At 48.0% G+C, this 16,571-nt stretch overlaps 1 protein-coding gene across 2 annotated transcripts in view, besides 1 other annotated feature; it reads right to left on the bottom strand.

Moving 5' to 3' along the window:
• Positions 1-16,571, bottom strand: part of RAB6B (RAB6B, member RAS oncogene family) — a 71,648-nt gene that overhangs the window by 11,702 nt on the left and 43,375 nt on the right. For both annotated transcript variants that reach the window (NM_016577.4, NM_001363953.1), the window contains 4 exons: positions 5,674-5,727; positions 5,349-5,454; positions 3,570-3,681; positions 2,230-2,323 (listed from right to left, as the gene is read on the bottom strand). In NM_016577.4, coding sequence (NP_057661.3) covers positions 2,230-2,323; positions 3,570-3,681; positions 5,349-5,454; positions 5,674-5,727 — 366 coding nt within the window. The remainder of the gene's footprint in view (positions 1-2,229; positions 2,324-3,569; positions 3,682-5,348; positions 5,455-5,673; positions 5,728-16,571) is intronic.
• Positions 3,936-4,436: an enhancer, noted in NCBI's record as "H3K27ac hESC enhancer chr3:133558716-133559216 (GRCh37/hg19 assembly coordinates)". NCBI's record gives its function as "activates a minimal SCP1, AML or CMV promoter by ChIP-STARR-seq in naive H9 embryonic stem cells {active_cell/tissue: H9 hESC(naive)}" and the evidence as "EXISTENCE:reporter gene assay evidence [ECO:0000049][PMID:30033119]".

Genomic DNA, 16,571 nt, shown 5'->3' on the forward strand with positions numbered 1-16,571 from the left:
TGCCTATAGTGATTTGTTACGGTAGCCTGAAAGGACTAACCCAGGAGCACTCCCGCTGTCCTCACAAATGTGAATTGCAGGAACTGGGTGGGCTCTGGGCTCATACCCTCCACTGCATGAGCTCTCTGAAGACAGGGTGAGTCTTATTCATGGCCTCACCCCAGAGCCCAGCCCCAGCTGAGCACCCGGGCTGGGTGACAGGGCTAAAGGCCATGAGGGCCCAAGGGGGGAAGCTGCTGGTGGGCCCAGCATGGTGTGAGACCCTTGTGGGCGGGCTGCAGAGGAGGCTCTGCAGTGGGGTAGCCATTAGTAGGCAAGGGTAAAAGGGCCCAGGCCATCCTTCCTGAGCTTTCCTTCATGGCATTGGCCCTGGGCGGCTCTGATCTGCCTGTCTGGCTCTCAAAACAGTCACAGCCTCTACTAGTGGCCAAAATGCCACTAGGGATTTTGAAGGGTGCTCTAGGATCAGGTATGGGTTTCTAGGGTCAGGTATGGGTTTCTGTGAGTGGATATGCTCACATTTAGATCCAGGAGTCTGCACTGCATGGACACTCCTCTGAGCCACACAGGGTTCGAAACTGACCACATTTAACTCCTGCTAAACCACTGCATGGGTTCCAGAGCACTCTGGGGGTAGGGGCATCAGTGCCTCCCTGACCCTGACGGCTGAGGCAGATGCTACCTGCCCTATGGACCTCCTGGTGCTGCCCTGCCCTCCCTCTGCTTCCCTGCTTCCCATGACTTTAGGGCTCCCAAAGAGTAGCAGCCCAGTCTCTCCTGCATGCCCCCAGGGAGCAGGAAGGACCATGACAGCTTCAGCCCCACACCAAGGGAGGCTGGGAACAGATGGGAGTGAGTGAAGCCCTGATGAGGACACTCTAGTTAGGGTGGGGCACTGAGTCCTGGAGCTTTGGGGCCCCCAGTGTCACATAGTGTCCCTTCCACCCTTCTTGTCTCTTCTTGTCGTTCTGCCAGCCCACCTTCCCCACTGCCACCAGCACTGTCCACACAGGGCAAACCATCACTGCATCCAGAAGGCCAGTGCTGTATACACAGCTTGCCAAGGGTTCCCAGCAATGCTGGGGTGGCAGGGCAGAAGCGACCGCCAGGCCAACCACACTCCTCACCCAGAGTCCCCTCCCCATACCTCGGGCACCCTGCAGCCACACCTTTGCTGCTCCCCTGCTTGGCATGCCCTCCCTCCTCACCACCTCTCCAAGTCCTTCTCATCCCCAACGGCAGGAGTTCTTAACCCTTCCGTGAGCCAAGGACCCCTCTGGCAATCTGGTTAATCCTATGGACTCCTTTGAAGTATGTGAAATCAATTACATAGGATGATAAAGGGGACTACTGAGTACTGAAATAAAACTTCATCGACATTTGTGCTTCCTTATGAAACACATTGAACAGCGAGAACTAGCAAGAGATCTAATAAGTAGTGTGATGCTGAAACACTGATAGATGTGAAGTTCAAGATACCTGCAACACTATGAGGTGATGGGAAGGCATCTGTGATTTCTATTGGTGGTAAAGCCATAGGCACTGCTAATGTGACTGAGTGTCATTGCCTACATTCATCATTGAAGGACAAATCAGACGTCCTTCAGTGCTACGGACGGGTCAGTGGTTAGTGAAGATAAAGGTGCAATGTTTTCCAGCCCTGTCTGCTGACCTGCTAAATTCCACCCATGGACTACTCAGGGGCCCTCATGCTGCAAGGCTCAGCCCTAACTCCACTGCCTCGCCCTCCTGTGAGTTCCAACCACATCATGGTAGGCTCTTTCCCCCAGGCCTGAGTTGCCCTCCACAGCCCTGAGCACTTGCTAAGCGCAAGGCATGAACCCCAAATGCTGATCAGATTGAATTTTCCTGCACCTGTCATCCAAAGTGGGGTGAGGGGCTAGGGAACCACTGCTTCCCTCAGCCTCCTGGAAGCTGGTGGCTGGACACTCTTAGGGCCTGCTACGTGGGCCGTGACTGGCAACTACTACGGTGGCTGGTGACTTATGTTCTCCAGATGCCATGCCCGGAGTGGTCCCTCCCTCTTTTGGGCTTTACCAGCTCCGGAAATTAGCTCTCCCCTCCCTGGGCGCATCTATGGGTGTTCTGGTTGGCTGCCCCAATCCCATCACCAGCCCTTCAGGGCAAGGCAGCTCTGAGCCTGCAGCTGACCACAGGGCTACACCGTGCCGGGCCCCGTGCCGGGCCCCGTGCCAGGTGTGTCCTCACCTGCTTCACGTTGTAGCCAGTCTTCGCACTGGTCTCAATGAACATGACGCTCAGTTCTTTGGCGCGCTGCTCCCCCTCCTCGATGGTTATCTGCCTAGAGATGAGGGGAAGGGGGGAAATCAGCTCAGCAGAGAAGCAGACCCTGGCAGATATGAGGAGGGACCCACCCAGCAGGGCAGAGGGAGCCCACTGGGCCCTTGGTCAGTCCTGAAGACAGGCTCTGATCCCAAGGGTCCCTCCCGGGCACCAACCACAGTCTCGCTAGCACAAAGCAGGCACCAGGGAACAGTAGGACACTATCCGCTTCCCCCACTCCTTCCTTTGTGTCTTCTCAGCTTCAAAGCAGGCCCTGGGGTAGGGCTGCCCCATACCTGCCTTTCCCAGTAGTCACTACTGCAGAGCCTGTGCTTATGAAGAGATTCAAGCCAGGCAGTGCCACTCTGGGTGGTATTATCAGTCGCATTTTCCCTGTGAGAACACTAATGCTAAAAGTGTCTCCCCCAGGGCCACAAAGCTACTTAGCAGAGAGGGCTCCATGATGGGGCAGGCAGAAGTGGGTGAGGGTATGAAGGGCCTGGGTACCCTTTGTACTGGGATTTGAGCCCAGTTTTCCTTACTTTAAGGACAGAACTCTAGTAAAGCAGGCTCTAATTCAGATGATTCCTCAGGTGGTCAAGGGACGCTGCAGGAAGCCCACACTGCTTGCTGGAGTCCATGGCCTGTCACTTTATCTGCCCAAGTCAGGGTCATGTAAAATGAGTGGACAATGTACACACATGGCACCTCAGTTCTCCCTGTGCATGGAGGGCAGCATGGAGGAGCCTCTTCAGAGAAAGCTTCATGCCAGACGCAGCCACAAACCAGGCTAAGCAGGCTACGGCCATAGGTTTGTGGTCTGAATGCTCTGCATGCTCACACCTAGGGCCCAGGGCATTCACAGCCCCACGCACATTGGTGCAGACACTTCACAGGCACAGACAGTTCACAGTGCACACGCTGGGGCCTAGAGGACTGCTGTGTCTGGGGCAGGGCTGTGGCCATGGCAGGGCCTTAGACCATGCACTGCTGGGTCAAGCCAGGTGCACAGTGCTCTGTGTAGACAGCAAACGGAGAAGTGCCCCGCCCCTGCCTGGTGGTGGAAGACAGGGCTTCACAGATGAGATACCCATGGATGAGAGTCTACCAGGTGTCCTCAAAGCTCCTAGTGTCTCAAGGGACCTTTTCCGGATGCATGGTCAGAAGCACAGACACACCACCCATGCATCCCAGAGCTCCCTGTCCAGGAGCAGTTACAGAGGAGTGGAGGGTGGCACCCTGCACCTGTGTGCCCTTGCACCTACCTCTTATCAGCCAGGTCCGTCTTGTTGCCCACCAGCATGATGATAACATCACTGCCCCTCTCTGTCCTGACGTCGTCGATCCACTTAGAGGTCTGTTGGAAGGAGTTGAGATCTGGAGGCAGAAAGTGAGGATAAACTGAAAGCCAGGGCCAGCCACCAGTGGGAGATGGGAAGGGGAGGTGTGAGCCAGGAGCAGGAGGGAGGGTGAGCATGTGCCCTCAGATACCCAGGGAGGGGTGTGAGCTCAGTCAACACAGATCAGCTGGGTAGGGCCTTTCAGAGGGAACCGGGCCCTGCCCTGCGGCCCTGGGGAGCCACTTGCACTGTTCAGCCACCCTTTGTGGGAGAGGAATCACCCCATCTGGAAGATCACAGTGTCATGATTTGCCACATGGAATAGTGGCTTTAGGGGCCCACCTGAGAGACCTGACTCTGGGGATTCAGAGTGGAGAGTGAGAACTGGGTCACACGTGTGTGTGCATACACACACACACACACACATGCGCGCGCGACTTGGCAAGTTTGGGAACAGTGAGGGTGGGCAGAGGAGGACACAGCAGCCTCTAGGGAAGGAAGGGCCCTACTGAGTGGTGTCCCCACCATGGGAGCTCAGGAGAGTTTGGGGAAGGCCAGAGGGGTTTCTGAAGAGAACCCTCAGGCTCTGCAGATGAGAGGAGGGGAAAGGTGGCCCCGGGACTAGTCAGGGGAGCCAGGTGCACTCAAAAATCCAGGAGAGACAAGGCCACTTCTGGGCAGCCTGACCCCCCTCAGCTGCCATGATAGGCCTTGCAGGGCAGAGCAGCTATAAGGCAATACCCACCACTCGGCAGCCTGCACACCCAAGGGGAGGGGAGGTAGCTGTCCTCAGAAGCCTCAGTTTCACACAGCCTGGTATCCCTTCTGATGTGCCTCAGGCCATGTGAACCCAGGCCCTTGCGGGCCCAGCTCCCACCTGCACTCAGGTGTGGAGGGGGCCTGTGGTCAGAAGAGAGGTGGACAGAAGGGGTGGGCAGAGCCAGGGCAGCAGGCTGGGTGGCGGGGGCATGCACCAGCGCGGGGACATGCATGCTTCCTTGTGTGATTTTTAAGGCTGTGGACAGCACCTAGGGCATTCGCCCACTTCAGGGTAACCACAGCCCTGAGGGCTTATCAGGTGTGTTCCATTACAAGAGCCTTGCAGGTCTGGCCTCTGCCTCGGCCCCCCACCCCCACCTCTGGCCCTGTGCGCCCTTGAGGCTGTGCAGTCCTGTTAAGAACACCTGCCCTGGCCTGAAGAGCCACAGTACTGGAGAAGGGTTACCAGCCTACTGCGCTTCCAGACCCCCTTGCCTACCTTCCCAGGGAGTCCTGCACCCACAGCTGCTGGGCCGGGGTTGGCCTAGGGACCAGCGTCTTCTCCCATGGTGACACACATATAGAAGTAGCTCCTTAGGGAGCTTTCTGACAGCCAGGGAGAGGGAGGGTGCAGAGAGGCTGGAGCAGGGCCAACCTTGTGAGCATCTGCTCACACCACAAGCTGGCCTCCACTCCGAGCAGGACCAACCTGGCCCTATAAACCCCTGTCGGTTGCAGGAGGGTGGGGAGCAGTGGAAACCATGTTGGTGTTCAAAGGCAACTCACCACTGCTCCCTGCCTTTCTGCATTCAGGGAGCAATCGCACACACATGCGTGTGCACACACATGCGTGTGCACACACATGCACACAGGCCTGGCCAGGGTCACACCTGGGCCCTGGACCCCCTATGAGCCACCCTCCCTTAGGAGCAGAGCCTCACTCACTTGTGATGTCGTACACCACCACAGCCACCGTGGAGTCCCGGATGTAGCTGGGGATCAGGCTGCGGAACCTCTCCTGACCAGCTGTGTCCCAGAGCTGCAGTCGCACCTGTCTCAGGGAGGGCAGGACCATGGGCAGAGGGGTCAGTGGGGCAGTGAGGTCCTCCTGGTCCGGGGGACTGGGAGAGCCGGGCTCTGCAATGCTGGCATCACCAGCTCCAGCCCCTAGTGTCGGCAGGTGCTCTCAGTGGTGCCCAGCTAAGGGTCCTAGGGGATAAGCCCAAAGGAACCCTCCCTGCCCCTCCCAGTCCTGATATTAGGTGCTCACCGTGCGGTCCTCCAAGTACATGGTTTTTGACAAGAAGTCAATCCCAATGGTTGCCTGTTAGAGAAAAGCACAGAACGGTCAAAATCAAAAGGTCTCATGCAAAGGGGCAAAAGCCTAGCGACCACAGGTGGTGGCATAACCAGCAAGAGGGGACGCTCATGTCAGGTCTAATGTGGCCATGCTCTGTCCTCCCTGCCCCTCCCTGCTACCACTCAGCGGCTCTCTCACTGAGGGATCAAGCTGAGGAAAGATGAGGGTGGCCTTTATAGGGTGAGATCTTCTCTGGAGAGGGCAAGTGCTTCAGAAGCAGTGAGAGCGCAGTGGTGAGGAGGCCTCCCCAGGAGCAAGGCCACTCAGGCCACTCAACGCACATATCCTGCCCTCCCCACCTGGACTCCCTGCCTTGTTCCCTTCATGGCCTAACCTGCAGCTTCCAAAGCCTCTTCCCTCTGCCCTAAAGCATGGGCCTGGGCTCAACACTGACCTCGGGAGGGTGGGAGGCAGGGGGCAGGAGCAGGCAGCTTGCTGCTGTGTGGGTGCAAACAGCAGCATGGCTTTTCTCAGGTGCGGGCACTGCAGACCACCCAGAGTGGCCTCTCGCTGGGAGGCCCCACTGGCTCTTTTCTCCCCAAGCCAAAACATTGGAAGCTGTCACCAGCTCCCCTGTGCCACACCTATGCCTCTTCTGCCCTGGCACCTGTGAGAGGCAGCCAGCCTTGTGGCCAGATGGCCAGGACCCACCACTCACTTGCTGTGTGGCCTTGGGCAGGCAACCAACCTCTCTGGGCCTCACAGGCACCCGGTACCTGTCAGTAGGACTGAGATGCTGTCAATGTAAAATGGAGATATCACTGCTATGTAATCAATAATAACAAAGACTTGGACACAGCCTGAATGTCCACGGCACTAAATAAGCATAGTGTGGTATATCCATGTGATTAGAACCCTTGGCAGCTGTTAACAATCACATTCTTGAAAAAATATTTAAGGATTTGGGGAAACGGTTATCCAGTTAAAAAAACAAATAAACAAAAAACAGGTTATAAAACATCATGTGGCGAGTGATCCCAATTAGATTAACTCAAATAGATCTATGAGTATTTTTCATGTTTTCTTAGACACTGAAGTGAAGGGAATCTGCTAACATGTTAATAGCATCACGGTCTGAATAGTGACAGAGCATTTTCTTTCCTTCATTACACTCCTTCATTACACTTTTCTCTACTTTCCACAATGAACATATAACAGTACTAAAATTAGAAAAAGTCCTTTGAAATAAAGTTTAATAAATAAGTTTAATTGTGTGGAATGCCATGATTTTTGACTGCAAAAAACACAACCAAAGGAAGCCCAAGAAAATAGAAAAGGTCATATCTCCAGTCCCCCCAGGCTGAATGCAAAGGTATGCACCAATGTGTGTGCACAAGTGTGCATGTTTACACAGTCACACTCCCAACTCGTTCCACAAAGGACTGAGACTGGCTTGCACCCTCCTGGAAGCTTGCCTCATAACACAAAGATATGGGGGGTCATTCTACGCTCTGGAGCATACGATGCTAGAATGTGGGCACTAGACAAAACACCTTAGATACAATCCAATCAATCCCTTACTTTGGAGATGAAAGAACAGACCAGAGGGTTAAAGGACATGCCTAGTGTGACTTCACTCATCAGTAGCAGGGCTGGGAAGATCAGAGCTGCAAACTTGGCAGCACCTGGGCTCTTTCTACCACAGCTTCGCATAGTGTAGCCACCGAGGCACAAATCTGCAATGACCAGTGCTTGTGGATGCAGACTTTTTCCTTCACAGGTGTATGTTAGATTGACAATCCTTGTCTTCTGATTCCCTTATGGAGAAATGTGCATAGCAGGTAGAAGTCTCTCAACTCCTCAATGCTCAACAGGCTCCCCAGGAGTGACATGCTCCTTTTGTAGAGTCACCTTTGAACTAAAACCAGGTGCATGAGCTTAGGACTGGTGGCAGGGACTGCTGGTTGTCCCCAGTATGTAGTTTCCCTTTCTATAGTAACAGAATTCTGGGTGTGCAGATGGACTCAGGGCTGCCCCAAATAAAGAACATATTTCCCAGCCTTCTTTGCAGCTGGGCGGCTACATTCTGGTTAATGGGATGTGAACGTGATGTAGGCATCTTTGGGGTCAGGTCCTCTGTGGGTAGGGAGTACCCACAGCTGCTCCCTTTCCCACTGTCCGGTGGGGATGAGTCATAGTGGCCCATCCAGATGAGGATGACAGAGGAGCGATGACATCAACGAAGGCTGACTCCCTGACCCTGAGGAGCTACTTCAGCAGCGCTGGACTGCTCAGATTGTTCTATTTTGTTTAAGTCACTGTTATTTTGGGTTTCTGTTAACATAGCCTAATTAACAAGCAAAGAACCATGGAGAAACGTATCTCTCAAAGGTAGGCACCTGATGGTAATGCTACTGATAACTGTAATGATGACAACCCCATCACACCTCACATGTCACAAGGCACTTCTGCTTCCACAAAGGGCAGAGAAGTCACCAAATGAAACAAGAAATTGTGCCACTTGGATGAAGTCCCAGCAAAGCTCAACCCAGTGGCCTCCATAATCATAAACACCATTACTGAACATCCACATACTTTCTCTCACATCCCATAACAGACTAACCAGAGGCAGCAACGAGGAACCTGAACAAGGCCAACATCCCATCTTCTCCAGCTCTCTCTTAATTCCTGCTTCCAGCTTCCCCAACAGAGAAACCTCTGGTCCCTTAACTGTCCACTCTCTCAGACCTGTTCTAGCCACACTCTCCATCTGACCAGGCCACTGAGCCACTGAAGAACTTCTATAGCTGTGGAGATGGCGCCAAAGCATAGGCATTGTCTCTGGGTGTAACTGAGCCCTCAGCTCTGCTCAAAAACATATTCCTAAGTTTTGCTTTCAATAATGGCTGAGTGGCTTGTATCAAACAAACCCTCCAACAGAAAACTATTTTAATATCTGGAAAAATACAAGAAATAACAATTTGCAAGCACTGAAGAATGATCAAAAGCAGGACGAGGCAGGGTGCAGTGGCTCATGCCTGTAATCCCAGCACTTTGAAAGACCAAGGCAGGAGGATCACTTGAGCCCAGGAGTTTGAAAGCAGCCTAGGTAACATAGTGAGACTTTGCCTCTACAAAAAATAAAAAATGAAAATTAATCAGGTGTGGTGGTGCCTGCCTGTAGTCCCAGCTACTTGTGAGGCTGAGGGGAAGAATCGCTTGAGGCTGGTGGGGCTGAGGATGCAGTGAGCCATGATGACACTACTGTACTCCAGGCTGGTCAACAGAGCAAGACCCTGGCTCAAAAGAAAAAAAAAAAAGTAGGTAGGAGTTACAACCGCTCAAGGAATGGAAGAAAACTAGGCAGATTCTACATTAAATCAATTTGCCTCCTGACGAAACTCCCCAGTCCCACCAAATTAAAAGAACTTCAAAAACACCTCAGACTCCACTGAAACACCAGAAAGGCTGGCTTTGGGAGGAACAAGATCATCTCAGGACTGAGGGTTACACCAGAGGACTCAGAGAAAACCAAAATAAATCTATCGCTGTGGTCTGAATGTGTCCCCTGTAACCTCAACTTCAAATGCTGAAACTTAATCCTCAATGTGATAGTATTAAAAGGCACATCCTTTGGGGAAAGGATTAAGTCATGAGGACTCTGACCTCTTGAATGGGATTAGTACCCTTATAAAAGAGGCTTAAGGGAGCACCCTGGCTCCCCTCTGCCATGTGAGGACGCAGTGTTCGTCCCTTCCACCACTGAGGACACAGCATAAAGGTGACATTTTTGAAGCAGAGAGCAAGTCCTCACCAGATGCGGAATCTGCTGGAGCCTTGATCTTGGAAGGAAATCCCAGACTCCTGAACTGTGAGCAATAAATGTCAATTGCTTATACGTTACCCAGTCTATTTTGTTATAGCAGCCTGAATGGATGAAGACATCTGTCTTAACAAGGTCCATACATGATAACTAACCATTCCCTAAAAAATATTAACTGCCCATCATTTAATTGCCTATTAAGATAAAACAACACTCTTCAGAGGAAGGTAACAAAATCCAAGACTATAACTTATTATTCATGAGGTCCACTGTACAATAAAAAAGGACTAGAAATGTGAAGAAACAGAAAATTCAAGCCATAATCAAGGGAAAAAACTCAACAGACCCCTACATGATCCAAATGTTGAATTAGTAGACAAAGACTTTAAAACTCTTATAAATAGGTAAAAAAAAAAATTAAAAATTAATACAATGGGTGACTGTCAAGAGATTTATGAAAATTCTAAAACAAAACAAAATGGTATTTTTAACACTAAAAACTATAATATCTGAAATAAAAATGCATTGGATTTAAATAACAGTAGCTAGGACACTGCAGAGGAAAGCTCAGTGAACCTGAAGACAGGCCAAAATAAATTGTTCAAACTGAAGCACAGAGAGAAAAATGATGGAATAAAAATAAAGAGAGCTTCAAGCACTCCTAGGACAATATCAAGTGAGCTGACATAAATGGCAATTGGAAGCTGGGCATGGTGGCTCATGCCTGTAATCCTAGCACTCTGGGAGGCCTAGGCAGGCAGATCACCTGAGGTCAGGAGTTTGAGACCAGCCTGGCCAACACAGTGAAACCCCATCTCTACTAAAAATACAAAAATTAGCCAGGTATCTTGGCGGACGCCTGTAATCCCAGTTACTTAGAAGGCTGAGGCAGGAGACTCGCTTGAATCTGGGAGGCAGAGGTTGCAGTGAGCTGAGATCGCACCACTGCACTCCAGCCTGGGCAACAGAGTGAGACTCTGTCTCCCAAAAAATAATAAAACAAAAAATGCAATTAGAGTCTCAGGACAGTAGAAACAGATGCAAGCAAAAAACATCTTGAGAATAGCCCCCAACTTCACCCAATTTAATTAGAAACATCAACCCACAGTTCCAAGAAGTTCAGTGAACCTAAAACAGGATAAATCTGTAAAAAACCAAACCAAGGTATGTCATAGTCAAATTGCTGAAAATAAAAAAGTAGAGAGAAAACCGTAATAGCAGCCAGAAAACAGAACAACACATTACATACAAGGAAACAATGGTAAGAATTATAGTTGATTTATCATCAGAAACAATGGAAGACAGAAGACAAGGGAACAACGTCTCTAAACTGCTTAAAAAATAAAACAAGACACACACACAAAAACCCTGTCAGCCTAGAATTCTATAGCTGGTGAAAATTTTCTTCAAAAATGAAGACAAAACATAAACATTTTCACATAAGGGAAAGTCACATAATTTGTCACCAGCATGCACTCATTATAAGAGATGCTTTAGGCTAAAGAGAAATTTTGTAGATGGAAATTAGAATCTTCAAGGCTGGAATACAAGTGCACCAGAAATGGCAAATCTATGGGCAAATATAAAAACACGCTACTTGTCCTTGATTGCGTCCTATCACAGTAACAATGACATCCACAGTAACAACATCTCAGCACTTTATCATTTCCCAGCTCTTGTACTAACTGCTTTAAATACATTACTTAATTTAATCTGGACAATAAATCTATGTGATGAGTTAGGCTCTTCTGTATTCTGTGTCACTGCTAAGAAAATGGAAGACAAGAGATGCTAAGCGACTTGTCAAATGTCCACAGCTGAGACTGCAGTCAAGATTCAAAAGGTATTTGCAAAGTTGTCTACATATGTCCAGCCTTATCCCCACACGCCTCCAGGCTCTAAGTATTCGTTATTTCTCCTGTTTAAAGAAAGCCTCTTCCTAGGCCCTCTTGGCACTGGCCTTCTCTGGATGATGCTTTCTCAGCCATCTCCTTTCTCTTCTATATCTCAGTCTCTCATTCTCTACTCACTCTTTCCTTTCATCCAAGAAACATTCTCAAGATTCTCACATCTTTTGAGTGGAAAAATCCCTCATTTTCACTAAGTTGCTCTCTAGCCATCTGCCAATCTCTCACCTCTTCTCAATGGGCTTGCTTCTTGGAAAAGGACTTCAAACCCACTGTATCCATTTCCTCTATGCCCACCCATTTCTCAACTAGGTCAGTCTGGTTTCTGTCCCTCTGCCCATAGCTCTTGCTATGGTCACCAATAGCCATTTGATTATCAAGTCATGAGGACACTGTATAGTCCAGACTCAACACACTTGACCCTGCTGACCATTCCTCTTCTATGGCATTTGTTTCTTCTTTGCTTTCCACGACTTTACTTGTTTCTGGCTTTCCCTGCCTCTCTAATTGCGGTTCCTTATTGTTCTCTTCTAGGATCTTCTTCCTTTCTTTCCCTAAAATGTTGGCATTTCCACTGTTTTGTTTCAGAGGGGATCTCATTTACTCTCGATGCTTCAAATATGATATACTGATCAGTTCCCAATCTATAACCCAGGACTTACCCCTGTTCTGAGCCCCAAATCTATGCATCCAGCTACTTACTACAAATCCCACTTAATTATCCACTAGACAGCTGACTAAATATAGTATATTCCAAAAAGAGCCTATCATCTTCCTCCAAACCTGCTTCTGCTATTTTTCCTATTTCAATAAATGGCACCTTGACCATCCAGGCGCCCACGCCTCTGGAAGCCTGAAAGCCCTCCTGAGTTGCTCCTCTTCACTTGCTGTCTGTTCCCTCACATCAAATGAATACTGAACTGGTTGCTTGGCCTCCTAAGGGCTCTCACCCAGCCCCCTTTTTCTCCATCCCCAACACCACTGCCCTAGTTTAGACACTGAACTTCTTTTACCTAAATAACACCAACAGCTTTCTGACTATCCCTCATGCTTTCCACTGTAATTAATCTTTCATGTAGCAGGCAGGATGTCTTAGTCCATTTTCTGCTGCTGTAACAGAATCACAGACTGGATAATTTACTTTAAAAAGAAATTTACTTATCACAATTCTGGAAGCTGCGAAGTCTAAGAACATGGCACTGGTGTCTGGGGAGGGCCTTTGTGCTGTGTCATCCCATGTCAGAAGGTGGAAGGGAAAGTGAACACACAACAGAGAGAAAAAGGGGCCCAAACTCCGATGGTACCACCCACTCCTGCAATAACTGCATTAATCCATTCATGAGGGTGAAGCCCTCATTACCTAATCACCTCTTAAAGGCTCCACTTTTTTTTTTTTTTAAAGCAGCTGCACCTTCTAGGATCACCTCTTAATACCGTCACAATGGGAATTCAATTTCAATATGAGTTTTGGTGGTGACACTGAAACCATTGCACAGGGTTATTTTTCTGAAATATTAATATGATCATATTAATATGATCTACTGCCTCTAAGAGATAGCTCAAACACTTCAAGCTGGCCTATAATGCTGTTCAGGGCCTGCCCCTGGCATTCTATGGACTCATTCCCTCCTTGACCAGCCTCCACTTTATATTTTAGAAATAATATTCTGTACAGAACTCCTCATAAACAAGTTGCTTTGTATGTCTGGGCCTTTTCTAATAATGTCCCCTTTTCTGGAATGCTCTTCCACATGGTTTATACTTATTCAGAATTCAAGATTCACCTCCTCTACAAATCATTTTCTGAGCCCTCAGGTTGGTCCAGGGCCCCTCATTTAACACTTTCTCTGTTAAACTGGAAAGATCTCATACTAATCAATCTCTCCCACTGGCCAGTGATTCAATGATTCTCAATATGTAGCCCACGAGTCATGTGCATCAGAATCACATCAGGAGTTTGTTAAACATGTTGATTCCTGAGCTCCACTCAGACAGACAGAATCACAATCTCTGGGAATCAGAATTCCAGACAAGCCCTCAGATAACTCATTTGTGCAGTAAAGTTTGCAAACTGCCTTCTGTTGTAATCAGAGTCTGGGGAGGTTGTGCTGTCCAGGAGTGGCAGATGCCCTGTACAGGGTGAGAGACAAGAGGGAGATGCTTATGCATGAGAAGGTGCTATTCACAGAAGAAAGCAAGGCTTACTCAGAACTAAGGTCACACAGTCAGTAGTGTCAGAATCAGTTTCCCTGAATGCAAAGTCCCTGCTCTTGACTATTCAGTTGTACTCCCTCTCCTTCCTGAAATCCCTTCATTTCTGAACCTGTCATGCACCCTGAAGCTGTCACTGAATATTTCTGGGGGTCACAAACTATCTGGCTACCTACTGTCATAATCTTATGGTCATCAGCCATAATAGTTCAGCAGAGCCCACTTAAGGTGAAGTTCATTTCCCAGAAGAGAAAAGTCAGCTCTCTAAGGACAGAATAGAAACAAGAACTTTTAAGAGGGCCTTGGCTGGGCCTCAGTTACCAGAAAATTTCTAGCTCTTTGACATCATCTATTTGCCTCAAATAAGGCACAAACAGTCTTACTGGTTGAGAAATTAGAGAACAATCTGCAAAGTTACTACAGCAGCCAGAAAGTGTGGAAAACCCTGGAAGTGACATAGATACAGAGAGGTGACCCCAAATTCTCCATATAAATGTTACCCAAATCTCTGACTGACCCAAGCAGACCCTAAGCAGCCTACCTAAGACTGAAAACAAAATAAAACAGGCAAACAAAAAAATCTGAACATAACTTTCAGTTGCTGCCTACCACGGGGGGGAGAATTGAGAATTTGGGTCCAGACAATTTAGCTGCCCACTAAAACCAAGAGTACTCTTCACAGGAACAAACAGAATCCACAGTTTTAACATAATGTATAACCCAAAATTACTAGTCATATGAATAAGAAAATGTCAGCCATATTCAAGAAAAAAGAGATTAAATGGAGACTAACTCTGAGGTACCCAGATGTTGAAAATAGCCAAGCATTTAAAAATAGTTCATATAACTATGCTCAAATATAAAAATAAGCTCATAATAAAGGCGCAGATTTAAAAATCTCAACAGAGAAACTAAAACTCTAAGTAAAGAACCAAATACAAACTTAGAACTGAAAAATACATCTGAAACAACAGATTCAAAAAGAGAAATGAAATAGTCAGTGAACTTGAAAATAGATCATATAAATTATCCAAAAGGAAGCATAAAGAGAAAAAAAATTGAGAAAAATTTCATAAACAGAGCCTCATACAGCTTAACATATGTTTAACTGGAGTCCCAGAAGTAGAGGAGATGGAGAATTGGACAAAAAAACTAAAGAAATAATGGTGAAAAGTCTTCTGAGTGCAAAATGAGACACATTTACAGATTCAAAAACTCATCCAACTCCAAGCATTACATTAAAAAAATAAAGAAACAAAATCACATGTCTATTCATAACAGAGTCTAACTGCTAAAAATCAAAGATAAAGAAAAATCTTGACAGTAGCCAGAGGAAAATGACACACCTCACGCAAGGAAATAACAGGGATGACGGCTGCCATACTGGAAAAAAATGGAAGCTAGAAAACACTGGAATGACACAATAAAAGTGTTCAAGAAAAAAAAAAAAAACCGTGGAAACAGAATTCTAAATCCAGCAAAAATACTCTTCAAAAGTATGAAGAAATAAAAATATTTTTAGATAAACAAAAACAAAGAGAATTTGTGGCAAGCAGAACTTCACTACAAGAAATGTTAAAGGAAGCTGTTCAGGCTGACAGGAAAATATACTAATGGAAACTAGAATTCTCTGGAAGAAATTGTGAGCATCAGAAATGGTAAATACATGCATGGGTCAATGCAGGACATTGTTTGTTTTAGATAAAAGTGATGGCTTCAGTACACCCTGAGGTGTGAAGCCACACAGTTTCTTCAGAAAAACAAAAATGATTCAGGACCAATGGACTGTGAATTGCCTGTAGAGAACAGGATGGAGCCAAAGAACTGATAAACGACCAAAGAAGAGGGACTTCCATGTAGCTGGGGCTTTAGAAAGATAACCCTGGTTGAAGGATAGTGAATGGGATAAAGGCAAGGGAGACAAAACGGAACCTGCTGCAAAGGCCTAGACAGGCAAAGAGGTGTGGGCAGAGAAGAGCAGAGTGAGAAGGAAGGAGGACACATGAGTGATATCAAGAAGCAGAGGCAGGACTCCATGGGTGTGAAAGATGTAGAGAGGCTGGGTGACTAAGATAAGGTACTGTTAACAAGAAAAGGGGGGAGTGGCTTGCACGACTGGGAACACTAACTACACTTTGCAGATAAGCCAGAGCCACACAGAAGTGAAGTGACTTGCCTGAGGTCCCATAGCAAGTCAGCGAGGTCACAGGAACTAATTTGCATCTTCTCTGATGATAAATCATGGGCTTTGGGTGATGAAATAAAAGACGACCTTCATGGGCTGACTCCTTTGGAGCACATCCCAGCTAGGGTAGCCACTAAAGGATGGCCCAAGGTGCTGCTTCTCTGGAAGCAACTGCAACCACACCACTAGAACTAATGAGAAACGACCACACTTGGGTGTCATTCATGCCACCTCCATGGAGAGCCACAAAGTTAGATCTACACTGATGGGCATTCTCCTCGTCACAGGGAATGAGCGTGGTCCAGGCGTGGTTTTGCGAGGCAGCTGGGCTTACCAGCCAATACAAGATTGCCAAGCATCAAAGCCAATGGTGCTCCTGGGATTCCCGGGGCTGCGGGGCTCTGTCTAAGAGCTGTGTCTACCACTGTTCTGCTGGGTACTCTAGTCTCAGACTTGTGCCAAATCAGATCCTCAGAGACCACGGGCCTAGGCTGCTTTGTCCACACTCTCCAGGATGGTTTTAGCAGCAAGTAAGCCAGATTATGCTGGCATTGCACTTTGGAGGTCTGTGAGGGTCTGTATCACAAATCATCATGTGAGGAAAGTCTCTATCTTGCTGGTAACACTGTCACTAGATGCCCTACCTGCCAAGCCATTACATATACCTCTTTGTAAGCTGGGGCAGAGAAACCCTGATTTTTTTCTTTTTCTTTTTTTTTTTTTGAGACAGGGTCTCACTCTG

This window comes from Homo sapiens, chromosome 3 (genome assembly GCF_000001405.40).
Source record: "Homo sapiens chromosome 3, GRCh38.p14 Primary Assembly".
In the NCBI taxonomy this organism is placed as follows: domain Eukaryota; kingdom Metazoa; phylum Chordata; class Mammalia; order Primates; family Hominidae; genus Homo; species Homo sapiens.